Source organism: Homo sapiens (assembly GCF_000001405.40).
Source record: "Homo sapiens chromosome 16 unlocalized genomic scaffold, GRCh38.p14 Primary Assembly HSCHR16_RANDOM_CTG1".
Taxonomy (NCBI): Eukaryota; Metazoa; Chordata; class Mammalia; order Primates; family Hominidae; genus Homo; species Homo sapiens.
The window spans coordinates 879873-898508 of record NT_187383.1 but is presented as its reverse complement, the minus strand read 5'-3'; the positions used below and the strand labels follow the sequence as shown (position 1 = coordinate 898508).

Genomic DNA, 18636 nt, shown 5'->3' with positions numbered 1-18636 from the left:
TTAGTTATTTTTCCTGATCCTCTTCCTCCTCTCACCCTTCACCCTCTGATAAATTATTCCAGTTTTATAAAGGATAAAACTTATCTGGTTTAAAAATTTTGTGTTCAAGAGTTGTTTAGGACTTGTGTGCCTAACACAAGTAGTTATTTGTAGCGGGATTTTTAAGGAATCAGAGAGAACAGTGGGGTTCAGGAGGATATTTATTAATTATTTAGGTGCACTGGCCCAGTCAGATAAATATTCAAAGGACTGGGATTACAGATTTGAGCCACTGCGCCTGGCCCCAAACTTTTTGATTATGTAAGTTTTATGCTCTGTACAGTTCCTCCTGTCTCCACTTAATTTTACCTACTTAGCCAAATGCCCAGTAGTCATTTTATCCTTTGAAAGTTTCAGATAATTGCTCACCTTCTTCCAATTATTTTTTGTTCATTAATTTTTTTCACAGGGTCTTTAAGTATGTATGTGGCTCTGTACTTAATACTTCAGCTCCTCAATCAACAAACTGTTCTCCAGTTCTTTTCCCTGTGACAAAATGCATGAGACTGAAAGGTGCCCAATTCTCCCATAGACCGGATGTATACAGCTTCCTTGAATAAACAGAGAAATTGATTCTGCTAGTCTTAAAGAAAGTTACATTTGTTTCATTTGATTTCCTTGAAACTTACCAGCCCAGGGCCTGACAATGAGAAGCCAGCCCCTCAGCCCCTATGATTGCCTAAGGCAACACCTGCTGCCTGGTGACCAACTCCTCTTCCTCACCCCTTCCCAATTCCTGTTTTTCCACACATGGTTACATTTCTTCCTGGCTAGCCCTGCAGGACCCCCAGCCTATCCACTAACCTGGATGTTGAGAAAGGCTCTCTTGGCCCCCTTCCCTGCCCAGCTCTTTCTGTCCTCCTGCCTCTGCCCTGCCCCCACCCCTTCCACAGAGGCCCAGCTCCACAGGGCCTGGGCCTGTGAAAAATCGCGGGGGCGGGGGGTGGTGCGCTCTGCCAGGGGAACCTGGGGAGGTGGGGCGGTTCTCCAAGTCCCCTTGGTCGCACCCCCGGCCGTTCCCGACCTTGCATTCCCACGCAGTTTCCCTGCCTTCTCTGTGCAGCCAAAAGGGACAAATGCACAAACTGCAAGCTGGCACACCAGGTGAAAGGAGCGGCTGCGCCTGCAGAGGTTCTGGGACCCAGGCTACTGGTGGCCTTTCCTGCACCAGGTTCCGATCTTACCCGCGTCCTGTACCCTACTCCTGCTGGCACCCCGCTCCTACCAATGCCCTGCCCTGCCCTGCCATCACCCTTCACCTACCCACTGCCCAGTCCTAACCGCACCCCACCCCGCCAGCACCCTGCTCCTACCCACACCTGGCCCTGCCAGCACCGCATCCTACCCGCGCCCCGCCCTGCAATCACCCTGCCCTTACCGCACCCCGTCCTACCCTCCCATGCCCCTCCAGCACCCCGATCCTACCCGCACGCTGCGCCTACCCACGCTTCCCCCCGCCAGGACCCTGCCCTGCCCCGTCAGCATCCTGGCTCAACCTGCACCCCGCTTCTACCTGCGCCCTGCGCCACCAGCACCCTGCTCCTACCCGCACTCTGCCCCTTCCTGGACCTGGCCCAGCTGTCACCCTGCTCCTACCACACCCTGTTCCTACCTGCATCCAGCCCCGCAGCACCTAGCTCCTACCTGGACATTTCTCCTACTGTGTCCAGAATTGGTGGGTTCTTGGTCTGGCCGACTTCAAGAATGAAACCACGGATGCTCATGGTGAGTGTTACAGTTCTTAAAGGTGGAGCAGACCCAAAGAGTGAGCAGCAGCAAAATTTATTAGAGTAACATGTAATTTTTAAAAGTAGTTTTAGACAAATCAAGACAATTTCATTTATGGCACATAAAATTCCATAATCTTGTGCATAACACTTTACAATGAGAACTTTTGTTAACCAGGACACATTATTTTCTATGTTCATTCTTTTGACACGTAGATTTATGTTTCCCTCCTAGACTTTCTTGTAAAAATGCCTGTTTTTGATTCCTCAGAGTACAGATAAAAAGGAAGGCTTGATCAGGATATGGTGGATCTGAAGATTCAAAGAAGTGCCATGGCTCAAAAGTAGACATTTTGGTAAATGTGAAGAAGTGAGATTCAATGAAGATGATAAGAAATGAAAGGTGTTACCAAAAGTGGGTATGTGTAGCTATGCTTGTCACACAAAATAGGCTTTAAGTCAAAAAAGCACAAAAATAGAAAATAAAGGTCATTATAAAATGATAAAGGGATCAATTCAGTAAGAAGGTAGAACAGTTGTCAATGTAAACACACCTGACACAGGAGCCCCAGTTATTAAAGTAAGAGTTATTCGAGCAACAGAGTCAGACAATAATAGCTGGGGACTTCAACACCCACTTTCAGCAACAGACACACCTTCCAGGCAGAAAAGCAACAAAGATCAGACTTACACTCCAGTATAAATCAAAGAAACCTGATAGGTAATTACAGAATATTTCACCCACCAACTGCAGAACTTGCTCACAAAATCAGCTCACAAAATATTCTCCAGGATAGACCACATTTTAGGACACAAAACAAACAAATCTCAAAAGAGCATTTAAAAAATGAAAATCATAGCAAGTATCTTCTCAGACCAAAATGGCATAAAATTAAAAGTCAATAACGAGAAATGTTGGAAACTCTCCAAGTACATGGTATATAAATAATGGTAATGGTCAGTGAAGAAATCAAAAAGGAAAGTAACAAAAACATTTCTTGGAAAAAAAAAGGAAACAAAAGAGAAAAAAATACATATAGTAGGTGTTTTTGAAGTAAAAAATGCAGAACAATAAAAAAGTTAAAAGATACAATAAAATAAACTTTTTCTGAACTAAAAATTGATTTGAATAGTTTCATTGGTAACAAAATGACTGGCAGGGAAAGGTGATGTCCCTGAATAGATAGGATTTTTTTTTTTTTTTGAAGGAGTCTTACTCTGTCGCCCAAGCAATTCTCCTACCTCAGCCTCCCGAGTAGCTGGGATTACAGCCATGCGCCACCATGCCCAGCTAATTTTTTTTTTATCTTTAGTAGAGATGGGGTTTCACCATGTTGGCCAGGCTGGTCTCAAACTCCTGACCTCAGGTCATCCACCCACCTCGGCCTCCCAAAGTGCTGGGATTATAGGCCTGAGCCACCATGCCCAGACAATTAGATAGGCTTTTAAAGTCACAGCAGAAGAAGCAGGAATGTTTGTAACCAGTGGCCAAACAGTATTAAACTCCTGGGTTGTTTTGGGAGGACTCACTACAACTACAGCCCAACTACATTTATTATGCCAGATAACACAGTGCTGAGGGGACATACTGGAGTTGACAAGATCCCGTGGGGGCACAAGTGGCAATGGCTGTGCACCAGTGGCTGGATATTCCTGAAAAATGAAACAAAATTAAACTAGTGGTCATCCAAGAAGATGTAGAATTAACGTACTGAAAAGCATTGATGAACATGGTCCAGGTCAACAGGAAAGCTGCAGGAATCATGTACCTGTTCAGTGCCCATGCAGCCACTGACATCACTGGCTTCAGGGTTTGGGAACAGGTACAGAATGTGACCAGGCAGCAGAGGTACTCTGTTTTTAAGAGTGCTTTCACGGGCAGGCACGGTGGCTCACACCTGTAATCCCAGCACTATGGGAGGCCGAGGCAGGCAGATCACCAGAGGTTGGGAGTTCGAGACCAGTCTGACCAACATGGAGAAACTCCGCCTCTACTAAAAATACAGAAAATTAGCTGGGCACGCTGGCGCATGCCTGTAATCCCAGCTACTTGGGAGGCTGAGGTAGGAGAAGAATCACTTGAACCCAGGAGGCGGTGGTTGCAGTGAGCCGAGATCGTGCCATTGCACTCCAGCCTGGGCAACAAGAGTGAAACTCTGTTTCAAAATAAATAATAAAATAAAATAAAAAGTGTTTTCACATATGACAGACATTACCAATAGCAGTTGGTGTCTTTTCATTTTATGTATGTTTATCGTATAAGTCTGATCTTTTTTTAGTATCTTGAATGGTTTTCTGGAAAGACAGCATTGGTAAGTGGCACACGATGGTAACCCAGTTGTAAGAGGGTTGCAAGATTCTCTTTGATTTGAAAAGCCTAGTCTTGGACCGGGCGCGGTGGCTCACGCCTATAATCCCAGCACTTTGGAAGGTTGAAGTGGGTGGATCACGAGGTCAAGAGATCGAGACCATCCTGACCAACACGGTGAAACCTACTAAAAATACAAAAAAATTAGCTGGGCATGGTGGCGCCTGCAGTCCCAGCATCTCGGGAGGCTGGGGCAGGAGAATCACTTGAACCTGGGAGGCAGAGGTTGCAGTGAGCTGAGATTGCACCACTGCACTCCAGCCTGGCAACAGTGAGACTCTGTCTAAAAAAGAAAAAAAAAAAAAAAAAAAAATAGAAAAGCCTAATTTGTCACTCAAGAGCATTGCACACCCAGGACACTTTCCAGTACTGCATTCTGTTCAACACAGTAAGTGCTTCACTGCATAAAAAACACTTTGAAGACAAAAAGAAATCTTTTTTTGTAGCCTTCCTGATATTTACAGTAATACTATTAACTGTTTATTGACAGCAAAAATGAGATTTTTTTGCAATGCGATGTAATTAGGTATTTTTGTTTGTTTGTTTGTTTGTTTTTTAAGACTGAGTTTTACTCTTGTTGCCCAGGTCAGAGTGCAGTGGCACAATCTCAGCTCAATGCAACCTCTGCCTCCCCGGTTCAAGCGATTCTCCTGCCTCAGTCTCCCTAAGGAGCTGGGACTACAGGCGCCCACCACCACACCCAGCTAATTTTTTTGTATTTTTAGTAGGGATGGGTTTTTGCCATATTTGGCAGGCTGGTCTCCAACTCCTGACCTCAGGTGACCTGCCCATCTTGGCCTCCCAAAGTGCTGGAATTACAGGCATGAGCCACTGCGCCCGGCCAAAATTAGATGTTTCTTAGTGTAACAAGGAATTGCCCTCCAAAAGGAAGTTCATGTATTATGCTCATTTGCAATATATAATTAACTATGCAAATAATTTTTAAGTTTAGTCAATAACAAAGATTGTTCTGTATATGCTACTGTTTAATATCTTTTTTTTTTTTTTTTTTTTTTCCTGAGACAGAATCTCACCTGTCGCCCAGGCCAGAGTGCAATAGCATGATCTGGGCTCACTGCAACCTCTGCCTCCTGGGTTTGAGCCAATTCCTCTGCCTCAGCCTGCTGGGTAGCTGGGACTACAGGCGCACATCACCACACCCAGCTAATTTTTTATTTTTAGTAGAGATGGACTTTCACCATGTTGGCCAGGCTGGTCTTGACCTCCTGACCTCAAGTGATCCTCCTATCTTGGCCCCCCAAAGTGTGGAATTACAGGCGTGAGCCACTGTGCCTGGCAAATACATTTTGTAAAATTTTGTATATTGATTTCAGGCCTTTTATTTTCTTAAAAGCAGCAGCTATTTAGCCTAATTCTTAGCAGTGTTTTGTTCTCTGGGCCAGTAGTATTTTATACATGCTTTTTGTGATCCATGTTCAAAGTCTGAATTGCCAATGTTGCAGCTCAAATGTAAGCTTGTTATTCAAATAAATATTTAATTTTTGAACTTGCTCCTGTATGGCTGGGTGCAGTGGCTCATGCCTGTAATCCCAGCACTTTGGGAGGCTGAGGTGGGTGGATCACCTGAGGTCAGGAGTTCAAGACCAGCCTGGCCAACATGGTGAAACCTCGTCTCTACTAAAAATACAAATATTAGCTGGGCATGGTGGTGGGCACCTGTAATCCCAACTACTTGGGAGTCTGAGGCACAAGAATCACTTGAACCTGGGTGGCAGAGTTTGCAGTGAGCTGAGATCGAGCCACTGCACTCCAGCCTGGGCGACAGAGTGAGACTCCACCTCAAAAAAAAAAAAAAAAAAATTGCTCCTGTATTACTAGATGCCCCTTTTAGTATTATTTTAGAAGCATTGGGAGGGTTTTGACTAAAGTGCAATTTACCGGAAAAGACTAGATTTTAGCTTTTTAGCTTTATGAAACTCTTAAATCTTTCATGGGACCTATATTTTCTTGAATTAAATTTTACAGTTCTAGGTTGGGCACAGTGACTCATGCCCATAATCCCAGCACTTTGGGAGGCTGAGGTAGTTGGATTGTGTGAGGCCAGGAGTTCAAGGCCAGCCTGGCCAACATGGTGAAACCCCTGTCTCTACTAAAAATACAAAAATTAGCCGGGCAGTAGTGGTGTGCACCTGTAATCCCAGCTACTTGGAAGGCTTAGGAAGGAGAATCACTTGAGCCTGGGAGGCGGAAGTTGCAGTGAGCCAAGATCTTGCCACTGAACTCCAGTATGGATGACAGAGTGAGACTCTGTTTCAAAACAAAACAACAACAACAAAAACTGTAGTTCTAGAATAAATAGGTGATCTAAAAAGGTGTTATCTGTGTTACTTAAAAACAGAGGCTTCCATATATATATATATATATATATATATATATATATATATATACTTTTTATTATGAGATGGAGTTTCATTCTGTCACCCAGGCTGGAGTGCAGTGGCATGATCTCGGCTCACTGCAACTTCTGCCTTCTGGGTTCCAGCGATTCTCCCCCTCAGCCTCCTGAGTAGCTGGGACTACAGGCGTGTGCCACCACACCCCTAATTTTTGTATTTTTTGTTAGAGACAGGGTTTTACCATATTGGCCAGGCTGGTCTCAAACTCCTGACCTCAGGTGATCCATCCACCTCGGCGTCCCAAAATGTTGGGATTACTGGTGCTAGCCACCGCACCCTGCCGGCTTCCTTGTATTTTAACCCACTAAACAATGAGGAGGAATCCTTCTCATTAAGCGCAAGGGCACTAGATCCTTGGGTCCCTGACTTCCTAAGAGAAGCAGCATATCCTGAAAGTTTCTGACACTTCCTGCTCACAGGCACCAAAGCCTCATGTGTAAACGTATCCACTTCTTGCCAAAGGAACCCCCCCCGCCGGGAAGATGAAGCTCCCTGGAAGAGGCTTCTTGGACATGACCATCTCCAGGAACCAGCGGGCAACCTTCATGTGTGTGTGACCAGACCTCCAGCTATAAGCATGGCATGCAGTACAGAAGAGCCTGCTATGAAACTGAAATTGATTGGACATTTTATAGGAATTGATAGAGATGATGGTCTTCAAAAGCTTTAAATCTGTGATCTGCAAAATAAAATGTGTTGGAAACCTCTGGCCAAAATTTTTTTTTCTTCTACTATATTTGGAATATTTTTCTTCCATTGTTAAGTACACATATGTATTGTACAAAATGTCCAGGAAAATGCCATACAATAATGAACAATGAGCTATACACATTTATTTATTTGAGATGAAATTACACGTTTATTTATTTGAGACAAAGTTTCACTCTTGTTGCCCAGGCCAGAGTGCGGTGGCATGATCTCAGTTCACTGCAACCTCTGCCTCCCAGGTTCAAACGATTCTCCTGTCTCAGCCTCCCACGTAGGTGGGATTATAGGTGCCAGCCATCACACCTGGCTAACTTTTTGTATTTTTAATAAAGACGGGGTTTCACCATGTTGGCCAGGCAAACTCCTGACCTCAGGTGATCCACCTGCCTCGGCCTCCCAAAGTGCTGAAATTACAGGCATGAGCCACTGCTCTGGGCCGGGATATACCTATTTAAAGTTGTTACCAAGCTTCAAGGATCAAAAAAAAGATTCCTAAGGAGGGGACATCTGAGAAAAGAAGAAGTTGGGTTCAAATATATATTTTTCTCAGAATTTTCCATAGCAATGTTTAATGCTAGAAGAAATGGAATAATTTGACACATGTATATGCACACTGTATATATAACTAAATACATATAAAATGGTCTGGAATTATAATGCGCAAGCCAATAGCATTAGTTACTTCTGAAAAATGTACTGGAATTGAAAAGAAGACATTGGTCTTTAAAATTTTAATTTTTAAAACAGAATATGAAATACATTAATAATTACCACCCCAACAATAATAACAATGCTGAAGAAACCTCTACCAAGTAATCAGGACAAGACCATGTGATCCAAACAGGTATGTTCAAGTTGTTTTTTAAGTAGAAGGAAGCAAACATCATTTTCAAATATACAAGGACAGACCCATCTCATGAAATAATTTTGATGAGCAAGAAATGCCTGGAGAAGCCATGACTTTTAAAAAATTGATAGTAAGCAACCAATCCATTATAACATTGTTAGACGATTGTAAAAATGGTTATAGAATTACATGGTTTACAGAATTACATGCTGTAATTCCTCAAGGAGGAATATGGTGGGTAAGTTCTTATATATGTAACATAGATAAATGTGAATGATGTGTTAGAATTTAAATTATGCCAAAAGAAGTGTGTTTTTGATGGTGTTATCAGATTAGATTCTTACAGAAAGGTTGAAGGATCTTTCAGAAAGATTCCAACATGAAACAAAACAGAGAATAAGGTAATAGAAAGCCATTGTAGGTTCCTGGATGGTATGGCAGATTATATCCCTCTTAAGAAGCATTTCTTTTTCCCCTCCCCCACCTGCACGTACTACCCCATTTCATTAATGTTGGACTTGACCATGTGACTTTCTTTGCTCAACGTAGCATTAGCAGAATTGGTTCTGCCATTACTGTGACAAGAATAACAGAAAGCTGACTACTGTTCCTCTTCTTTAGTTCCAAAAGTAAAAATAAAATGGGTGTTAAGAGACAGAATACAGCCAGGCGCAGTGGCTCACGCCTGTAACCCCAGCACTTTGGGAGGCTGAGGTGGGCGGATCATGAGGTCAGGATATCTAGACCATCCTGTCTAGCAGAGCGAAACCCCGTCTCTACTGAAAATACAAAAAATTAGCCGGGCACGGTGGCGGGCGCCTGTGGTCCCAGCTACTCTGGAGGCTGAGGCAGGAGAATGGCATGAACCCGGGATGTGGGGCATGCAAAAAAAAAAAAAAAGAGAGAGAGAGAGACAGACAGAATATAAGCCACAGACTAGGAGAAAATATTTGCAAAACACATATCTGATAAAGGGCTTAGATCTAAACTAAATAGAAAATTCTTAACAATTAAAAAACAATTTAAAAGTGAGAAAAATATCTGAATAGACATCTGAACAAAGAGAATACACAAGGGACAAATCAGCAAATGAAAATATTCTCAGCCAGGCAGGGTGGCTAGTGCCTTTAATCCCGGAATTTTGGGAGGCCAAGGCAGGCAGATCACCTGAGGTCAGGAGTTTGAGACCAGCCTGGCCAACATGGTGAAACCCTGTCTCTACTAAAAATATAAAAATTATCTGGGAGTGGTGGCATGCACCTGTAATTGCAGCTATTTGAGAGGCTGAGGCAGGAGAACTGCTTGAGCCCAGGAGGTGGAGGTTACAGTGAGCAGTGATCACACCATTGCACTCCAGCCCAGGCAACAGAGACTCCATCTCAAAAGAAAAAAAAAAAACACAATTTTACAGTAAATACTAAATCTCGTTTATGACGGCCACCCCCCACCCCCAGTTAGGTGACCCATTTGGTATGGTTGGGAGATGTGACACTCAAGGCTGGTACATCAAAACCACTTCTGTGGTTTTTGCTAAAACCACGTGGTTGCCGATTGAGAAATGTACATCACTGAGAAGAATGGATGGACCGCATTTTCTCTGTGCAGCTATCAGTACACCTCTCTCTAAGCTGGCTTTTGAAAAATATGGAGTGGCTGTGAGTTTGAGGTGATAATACTACCCCCTCTCCAGCAGCTCCTGTGTTGTGGTGCACATATCAGATGGTCTTTCTAGCCAGTGAAGATAGAATCCAGATTGGAATATATGTTAAACAAAGGCTGAATCAGGACATGTGCCAAGCTGAAAGACTTTTCCAGTTCTGTACAGCTGAGCCTCAACAGTGTCTGTTACGACAAAATTGTTCTCCAAACATTAATTTGTGGTCTGCTCCCATACACTACAAATAATGGACTATGTGTCCATCTTTGACACTTACTGTGTTCCACCAAGAGGGACACCTCCCAAAGCCAGAAAATATTTATTTCACACTGAAGTCCAAGTGGCCTCACAAATATTTTCCGGATCCTAACAAAGAAAATAATCTGAGTTGAAGATCCTGTATTCAATTATTTTGGCAAATATTTCTTTCATGTTTCCTTTGTCTAAACGACTGAGCTAGGTGCTGAGATGATGTTATTCCCATCCTTAGAGCTTGTGCTCCAGAGAAGAATATAGATAAGGAGAGGGACGTCACATTACCGTCTGCACAAGGAGTGTGGGAAACCATGGAGTTAAAGGACTGCTATTTATGAGTAATCTGCAGAATGGAGGAAAGCTTCCCAGAAGAAGCCAGCCCGGGGGAGCTGTGGGCAAGCATTCCAAGCAAAAGCATTCACACTGATGTGGGCCAGACACTTCTTCTGTAAGGTCCTAAGAGCAGACTGAGCACACAGTTTGTATGTAACCAGGCAGTGGACAAGCCATGTGCAACTCAGAGGACCGTTTTTTTTTTTTTTTTTTTTTTTTTTTTTTTTTGTAAAGGAGTTTCGCTCTTGTTGCCCAGGATGGAGTGCAAGGGATCTTGGCTCACCACAACCTCCGCCTCCTGGGTTCAAGTGATTCTTCTGCCTCAGCCTCCCAAGTAGCTGGGATTATAAGCACCCACCACCACGCCCAGCTAATTTTGTATTTTTTAGAAGAGATGGAGTTTCTCCAGTTGGCCAGGATGGTCTGTATATCCTGACCTCATGATCTGCCCGCCGTGGCCTCCCAAAATACTGAGATTACAGGCGTGAGCCACCACACCTGGCCAAGATTGAAATCTTAATGAGAGAAAAGCAGTTTGGAAACTTACCTGTTTTTTATTCAAAGCCCATCCTCTCCTTCCTGTTCATGAATGGCAGGCATCCTGTGGTGACTAAAGAAGGTCCTACCAGCTAAGGGATTTCATCGGCCCAAGGAGCAGCTTCCACAGGAGCTCCAGCAGGTTCCTTGGAAAAGGTGACAGTGCTGGGCCATGGTGCCCTGTTCAGAAATACAAGACTCAGATTTAGTAAAGCCAGTAGTGTAATGTGAAATTTGTTTAAAAAATCCTTAACCAAAACATTTCATTTCATAAGACCGATGTATTCCATCAACAGTTTTTTACTGTATGTTCATACTTATGGCATTAAGAATCAGCGTGATTGGCCAGTGACGAGCATCTGGTTTGTCAGTTTTAGTGGCAAAGCTTTCCAGCATCTACAACTCTAGTCACCAAAATCAAGAATGTCTTTCTTTTCTCTTTTTACCTAATTACAAAAAAGGGACGGATTTATGAAAAGCAATATGTTAATAAATAGCACAACTTATGTTCATATCATTACCACTTCTAGCCACAAATTAAGAGTCAGGATTAAGGAAAACTTACCTAAATTTTCCCAGGCTATTTTAAAATTGTTTTTTTCCTACAAAAATAAATGTTAAATTATTCTTTTGAGGTAGTCTGAATTAAGTTGTTGCTAATTGGAAAGGACTATTAGATCTTAAGGTGAACTGACAATTTTATAAAATAAATAGACTTCCTTTCTACTATTAGAAAGTTCTAATAATGAGTTCTATTATTATAATAATACTTCTCAATTCTCTTTTAAAATATTATTAATGTCTTGGCATTTTCAGACTTAATCTGAAAATGTTTTAAATATCGAAATAGACATATCCAAAGTTTACAACAAGGGTGTGCAATCATGATGGACACACTTCCTCAAACATGAGGGATCAACCCAACTCATACCCATCACACCCTCAGCATGTGGGAATGTTAAACTATACAGGAACCATGGCTGGAAACAAAAATCTGTAGGTGTCCCTGACATAAATTCCCATAGTACTTGCCTGCATCCTGGACACACCCTCCAATATCCTTCAAATTATCTCTAGATTACTCACAATACCTAATACAATGGAAATGCTACTTAAATGGTTGTTACACTTTATTGCATAAAGAATAATGACAAGAAAAAAAGCTTGTACGTGTTCACTACAGATGCAAACATCCTTTTTTTTCTGGAATATTTTTGATCTGAGGTTGGTAGAAAGTGAGGATGCAGGACCCACAGATAAAGGGGACTGACTGTATTTAACACACACACACATATTTTCTTTTGCCTGAGTAAAAAACAAAATTGTACTCGTAACACAGCTGAAGGATGTCAAGAAAACTGTTCTTCCCATTCAACCTCAAATTGATAGAGATGACCTTCAAAATCCACATAGAACCTTTTATTTCCTTAATGCTCATTACATTTTAATCATTAGAACTAATAGTCAAATAAGTTGCCCTTACTGATAAATCCAAATTAAAACAACACAGAAATGACACTTTATTTCTTCAATAATTATTAGTGAACACCTACTTTGCATTACATACTGTTTAACCATCAGTGACATATTAATAAGCAAAAGATAAAAACTCCTGCCTCCTAAAACTTACAGTATAGCAGCACTTTATTTTACTGAATAAAACAAATCCTTGAAAATCTGTACGACTTGCTCCTATGACTTGCATGAAAGTTTCCAGAAGGTTCATGTTCAAGCAGCTTTGCTAAAGCAGAGGAAACTTCCACTTGTCTTTCTTACAAACTGTCGCAAAACACACCTAAAATTTCAACTCAGGAAATACAGTCAGCTTTTGATTAGTCTGCACTTAAGAATGTCTTCCCTTGATCCAGTAATGTGAATGCAAATAAAACATTGTAACTTATACAAAAATAAAAATTCTGAATAGATCATTTTTCCATGATTCAGTGTCTTGTTCATCTGTTTAATAAATAAGTCAGTTACTCTTCAACTTCTGTCATACTCTCAAAAGTCATGAGCAATCCAGAAGATCCATCTCTCGTATTTATTTTTATTTTCTTAAAAATTCACTACACTGAGACCAGGTGCGGTGGCTCATGCCTGTAATCCCAGCACTTTGGGAGGCTGAGGTGGGCAGGTCATGAGGTCAGGAGATCGAGACCAGCTTGGGCAACATGGTGAAACCCCGTCTCTACTAAAAATACAACAATTAGCTAAACGTGACGCACTGTAGTCCCAGCTACTTGGGAGGCTGAGGCAGGAGAATTGCTTGAACCTGGGGGGCAGAAGTTGCAGTGAGCTGAGATCACACCACTGCACTCCAGCCTGGGTGACAGAGCAAGACTCCAGCTCAAAAAAAAAAAAAAAAAAGAAAAGAAAAATTTACTAGAAGGGATTAAAAACAGATTTGACCAAGCAGAGGAAAGAATTAGCAAATCTGAAGACAAAGCAATTGAAATAATCCTGTGTCAGAAACAGAAATAAAATGGTTGCAGGAATATCAACTGACCCTAAGGGACCTGTGGGACACCATCAAGTGGACCAACAACAGTTTGTAAGAATCACAGAACAGACAGAGGGACTAAAAGAATACTTGAAGAAATAATGAAAATCTAAGAAACTTCCCAAATTTGATTTAAAACATTAAAACATTATAAATATACAAGGCTTGGCATGGTGGCTCCCACCTCTAAACTCAATGCTTTGGGAGGCCAAGGTGGAAGGGTTGTTTCAGGCCAGGAATTCAAGATCAGCCTGGGAAACATAGGGAGACCCTGTTTCTGTGAAAAAATCATAATTAAAGTTAAAAGCTGGTATGGTGGTGTGCACATACAATCTCAGCTACTCAGGAGGCTCATGTGAAAGGATTGCTTGAGCTCTTTCAGCCTGGGTGACTGAGTGAGACCCTGTCTTTTTTTTCTCTTGTTTTGAGACGGAGTTTCACTCTTGTTGCAATGGTGAAATCTCAGCTCACTGCACCCTCTGCCTCCTGGGTTCAGGTGATTCTCTTGCCTCAGCCTCCCGCGTAGCTGGGATCACAGGCACGTGCCACCATGCCGAGCTAATTTTGTATTTTTAGCAGAGACTGGGTTTCTCCATGTTGGTCAGGCTGGTCTCAACCTCCGAACCTCAGGTGATCTGCTGGTCTCAGCTGGCCTCCCAAAGTGCTGGGATTATAGGCATGAGCCACTGTGCCTGGCCATGAGACCCTGTCTCTACAAAAACTTGCTGTCAAAAAAACCACAAAGCTCAACAAACTCAAAATAGGATAAATTCAAAGTATCTCACTCAAGATAGTTTATAATCAAGGTATCAAAAGACAAAGAATCTTGAATGAAACAAGGGAGAAGTACTCCTCACATACAAAGGATTCTCAGTCAGATTATCAGTAGATTTCTTACCAGAAACCTTGGAGGCCAGAAGGCAGTAGGGTTGATTAATTCAAAGTACTGAGTAGGGAAATCCTTTCAACTAAGAATCTTAGATCTGACTGTTAGGGTTGAAAGGTGTCCACCGAAGTTCATGTCAAAACAAACAAATAAAAAATCATTATGAGATTTATGCATAGAGCTTTTTTCTTTCTTTCTTTCTTTCTTTTTTTTTTAAGCACATGGGCTATCATTAGTGTTAGCGCATTTTATGTGTGGTCCAGGACAATTCTTCCAATGTGGTCCAAAGAAGCCAAAACATCGAACAACCCTGATAAATGTACTTAACATTACTGAACTGTACACTTAAAATGATTAGATGGTAAAGTTTATGTTACATATATTTTACAATTTAAAATTAAAAATATATTTAATATGTACAAAACAGAGATGTACAGAATAAAGCAAAAAAGTAAGAATTCTTTTAGTAAATACTGGAAAACTTGGTCTAAGTGAGAAAAAAGTAACCCACATGCAAAACTCACATCATAGTTTATAAAACTATAACAGTATTAGGAGAAAATGCTGGATGGTGGGGAAACCACAGATGGTCCTGACCACTGAAGAAATGGATCAGAGGACAATGACTGATTCTAATAGGTGAATAATATTTATGTAATAATAGGTAATAAGACACATGTAAAAGAAAAAAAGAACAAAATGGGAGAATTCTGAAGCAGGCAAAACTCTTAAAATCCAACTCTACAAATAACTTACACAAATATAAAGCTGATACCTAAAATTCCCTTGATAATTTTATTTTTGGGACTTTTCCTTTTTAGGTAAGGAGCACTTTCAACACCTGATAGCACCATGCACCTGACACTCCCTGCAGTTGACATCAGTTGGTGGGGTGGGGGGGGGGACCCTCTCTTTTTTCTTTCCTTTCTTTCTTTCTTTTTTTTTTTTTTTGAGACAGAGTCTTGTTCTGTCACCCAGGCTAGAGTCCAGTGATGAGATCTTGGGTGACTGCAGCCTCTGCCTCCTGGGTTTAAGCAATTCTCCTGTCTCAGCTCCCAAGTAGCTGGGATTACAGGTGCATGCCACCAGGTCCAGCTAATTTTAGTATTTTTAATAGAGACAGGGTTTCACCATATTGGCCAGGCTGGTCTTGAACTACTGACCTTGTGATCCACCTGCCTTAGCCTCCCAAAGTGCTGAGATTACAGGTGTGAGCCACCACACCTGGCCATCTCTATTTCTTATACACAGTAATATTATAATAAGAAAGATATCAATTTGCTTAATATGTAGCCTGTTTCTGAGTTCTGTAGATGTCATTCAATAAGATAAGAAAGCTACTGATCTCATCAAATCAAGAACACAATACAGTTCCCTCAGGTATCAAAAATTGCATGGCCTCAAAATATGGGAAAGATAATATTTTATGAAATGGTGTATTTTAAGGCTGACCTACAGATAGGAATGTTTCAAGCAATAAAGCTTTGATGCAGATGTTCATTCCATATCCTGTCCTGATCCTCACCTGCCATAGGCCAGCCTGCACTTGCCTTCACACTATGCCTTCCTTCATGGCTTCAGGCTAAGATTGCCAGGAGGCTTCTGTACATGTGGTCATCTTATGGATTAAACACTTTTTTTGTTAGTTTTGTTTGTGTTTTAGAGACAGGGTCTCACTGTCGTCCATCCTGGAGTGCAGTGGCATGATCATAGCTTTCGGCAACCTCCAACTCCTAAGCTCAAGTGATCCTCCCAACTCAGCCTCCTGTGTAGCTGGGACTACAGGCACACGGCACCATGCCCAGCTCATTTTTGTGTTTTTAGTAGAGACGGGGTTTCACCTTGTTGGCAAGAATGGTCTCAATCTCTTGACCTCGTGATCCACCCACCTCAGCCTCCCAAAGTGCTGGGATTACAGTCATGAGCCACCACACATGGCCCAGATTAAATATTTCTTTAGAAGATGGACTAGAAATGGGTCATCCAAAATTTTTACTTACCTATGAAGAATTCCAATCTTCAAAATCTTTTAGAACTCAATCAGAACTTGAGAACTTTCAGTAGGTGCTGTGATTCAATAACCAGAATTCTGCTTTAGTTTATAGTTCTACAACTATTTCTGTCATTTTCCTACTAAATTACATGAAGGGAGTTGTCTGCATATGAGCTGCACCACCGAGCAGCATGGCTATCAGTGAGAAGGTGCCTTCTCAGTTAAAATGTCCTGACCAAGTTTCCCCAGAAATTTGTGAGTACTCAACTGTATTAAAACTAAATATATTGTTTTTAATGACAAATAGTCACTAATTAGTAAAATGATTACTGTGCTATAACAGAACAAGTCCTTAGCCCAAAATTAAATGGCCACAGATTCATACAAAGCTTATCAACTATCACATATCACATTTTGACAAAAATCAAGAAGACAAATGGATGATCTCTTCTTCTTTTTCTTCTGTGAGACAGGGTCTTGCTCTGTCACCCAGGCTGGAGTGCAGTGGCACAATCACATTTCACTGCAGCCTCCACCTCCTGGGACCAAATGATCCTCCAACCTCAGCCTCCCAGGTAGCTGGGACCACAGTCGCATGCCACCATTCCCAGTTAGTGTGTGTGTGTGTGTGTGTGTGTGTGTGTGTGTGCGTGCTTGTGTGCTTGTGTAGAGTCTCCCTATGATGCCTAGGCTGGTCTCAAACTCCTGGCTCAAGCAATTCTCCATCTTTGGCCTCCCAAAATGCTGGGATTACAGGCATGAGCTAAATCACACTAAATAAATTATATTTTAAAAGTAAAGTCAAAGGTAGAATTTAAAAACAAAGGAATTCTATTTCTATACTTACTAGTCCCAGGTAGACAAACAACATGGCCTTCCTGAGCCTCTTCCTGAATCTTTTCAGAAGAGTGTGAGCCATGAGAAATCAGAGCTGTTATTTTCTGGTTGAAACTGACACTTTAGGCTACTGTTTTCATTTGCCTGTTGAAAGGGTAACTCAGCTGTATTAATCATTTAAATTAAAATTAAACATTTTGAAGGGGAAAACATAGGGAGCAGACAACATCTACCTTACTCAAGGAGGCAGGTAATCAGTGTAAAAGGAATGAGAAATCACCATTGGAACCACGGGTTTAATCAATGTTTCCAGGAGGCTTCAGCAATGACGCTGAAACCAGCTGGTGAAGGTTGCCAGGGAATAAGATGTTCACAGTGCTTTGATATCTCATCCCACAGATGACTAACAACAAAAGGGAAAAGCTACTTCACAAGGAGATGTCCAGTTGATACTACCTCAACCAAAATTATTAAACATAGCATCAACAATCGTGGGACAAACAGACTCAAACATCTGGTGTGAGGCGTTAAGTACACAACACTGCCTAATCTGAATTAGGCATTATTCCCTGTTTAATCTGGATCCACTCATGAGAACACTGTTTAATCTATTCTTGCCAAAATGATCAAACTATTCTAGTCAGGAGAAGAAAAAAGCAATCAGATATATCTAGATTATGGGTCATTCTACAAAACAAAGAGCCTAGATTTTTCAAAATATTTCATGTATTGAAAGAAGTACTCCAAAGTAAAAGAACAGAGAGACATGATAACCAAAGGCGAGGTTAATCTTTGATTAATCTGTGGATTTAAAACAAAAATAAAGAACATTTTGGAGACAATTAGGTAAATCTGAATATGGGCTGTACATCAAATTACTGTATTACAGTTAGATGGTAGAACTGTGATTATGTAGAAATATGTCATTATTCACAAGAGATAAACGCTGAAGTGTTGGGGTAAAACATCTTGCTCTCTGCAACTTACTTTCAAATGATTCAGAGAAGAAAGTACTTATGGAAAGAGAAAGAAAATGCAAAGGTGGCAAATGCTAGCCACTGGTTGATCTGAATGAAGAATATGTAGATGTCCATTGTCTTTGCTTTTAATTTTCTGTAGGCAAGGGAAAGATAGGAAGGAGGTAAGGTGCAGGCATTTCTTATCAATTCATACCTGTAAAAAAACAAAGTTAAAAGAAAAGCAAAGGCTTAAAATTCATGTAAACACCCAGTGAGATTAATAGTAATTTTCTGTCAAATTTCTGAAAAGCCATTAAGACTGTAACATACCTGACTAGGATCACTTGCAGGTAACTTAAAGTATTTTTTCTGGAGGTTCCAGTCCTTCTACTTCATATGTTTTATTCCATCATTCCTGGAATTGCCAGTTGTTCAAAATAAACCTCTAAATGATCATTGTAGGACATTTCATCATCAATATCATCCTTTAATAAAATGAAGAAAAAATGAAACAGGCTCTAAAGTAGTGACTAAACAATAAATAATTTGTCATAAAAAGGGCTAAGACATAAA

At 41.3% G+C, this 18636-nt stretch overlaps 1 long non-coding RNA gene across 2 annotated transcripts; it reads right to left on the bottom strand.

Annotated features, from left to right (window-relative positions):
- Positions 1 to 1040: 1040 nt before the first annotated feature.
- On the bottom strand, positions 1041 to 11325 carry LOC105379535 (uncharacterized). Of its 2 annotated transcripts, none has more exons than XR_951345.2 (4): positions 11206 to 11325; positions 10899 to 11068; positions 10041 to 10129; positions 1041 to 1779 (listed from the first exon to the last, which is right to left on the bottom strand). It is a non-coding gene; the product is annotated as an uncharacterized LOC105379535 (long non-coding RNA). The 2 variants fall into 2 exon arrangements; XR_951346.2 differs by lacking the exon at positions 1041 to 1779 and adding an exon at positions 3286 to 3419.
- Between the last annotated feature and the right edge of the window lie 7311 nt (positions 11326 to 18636).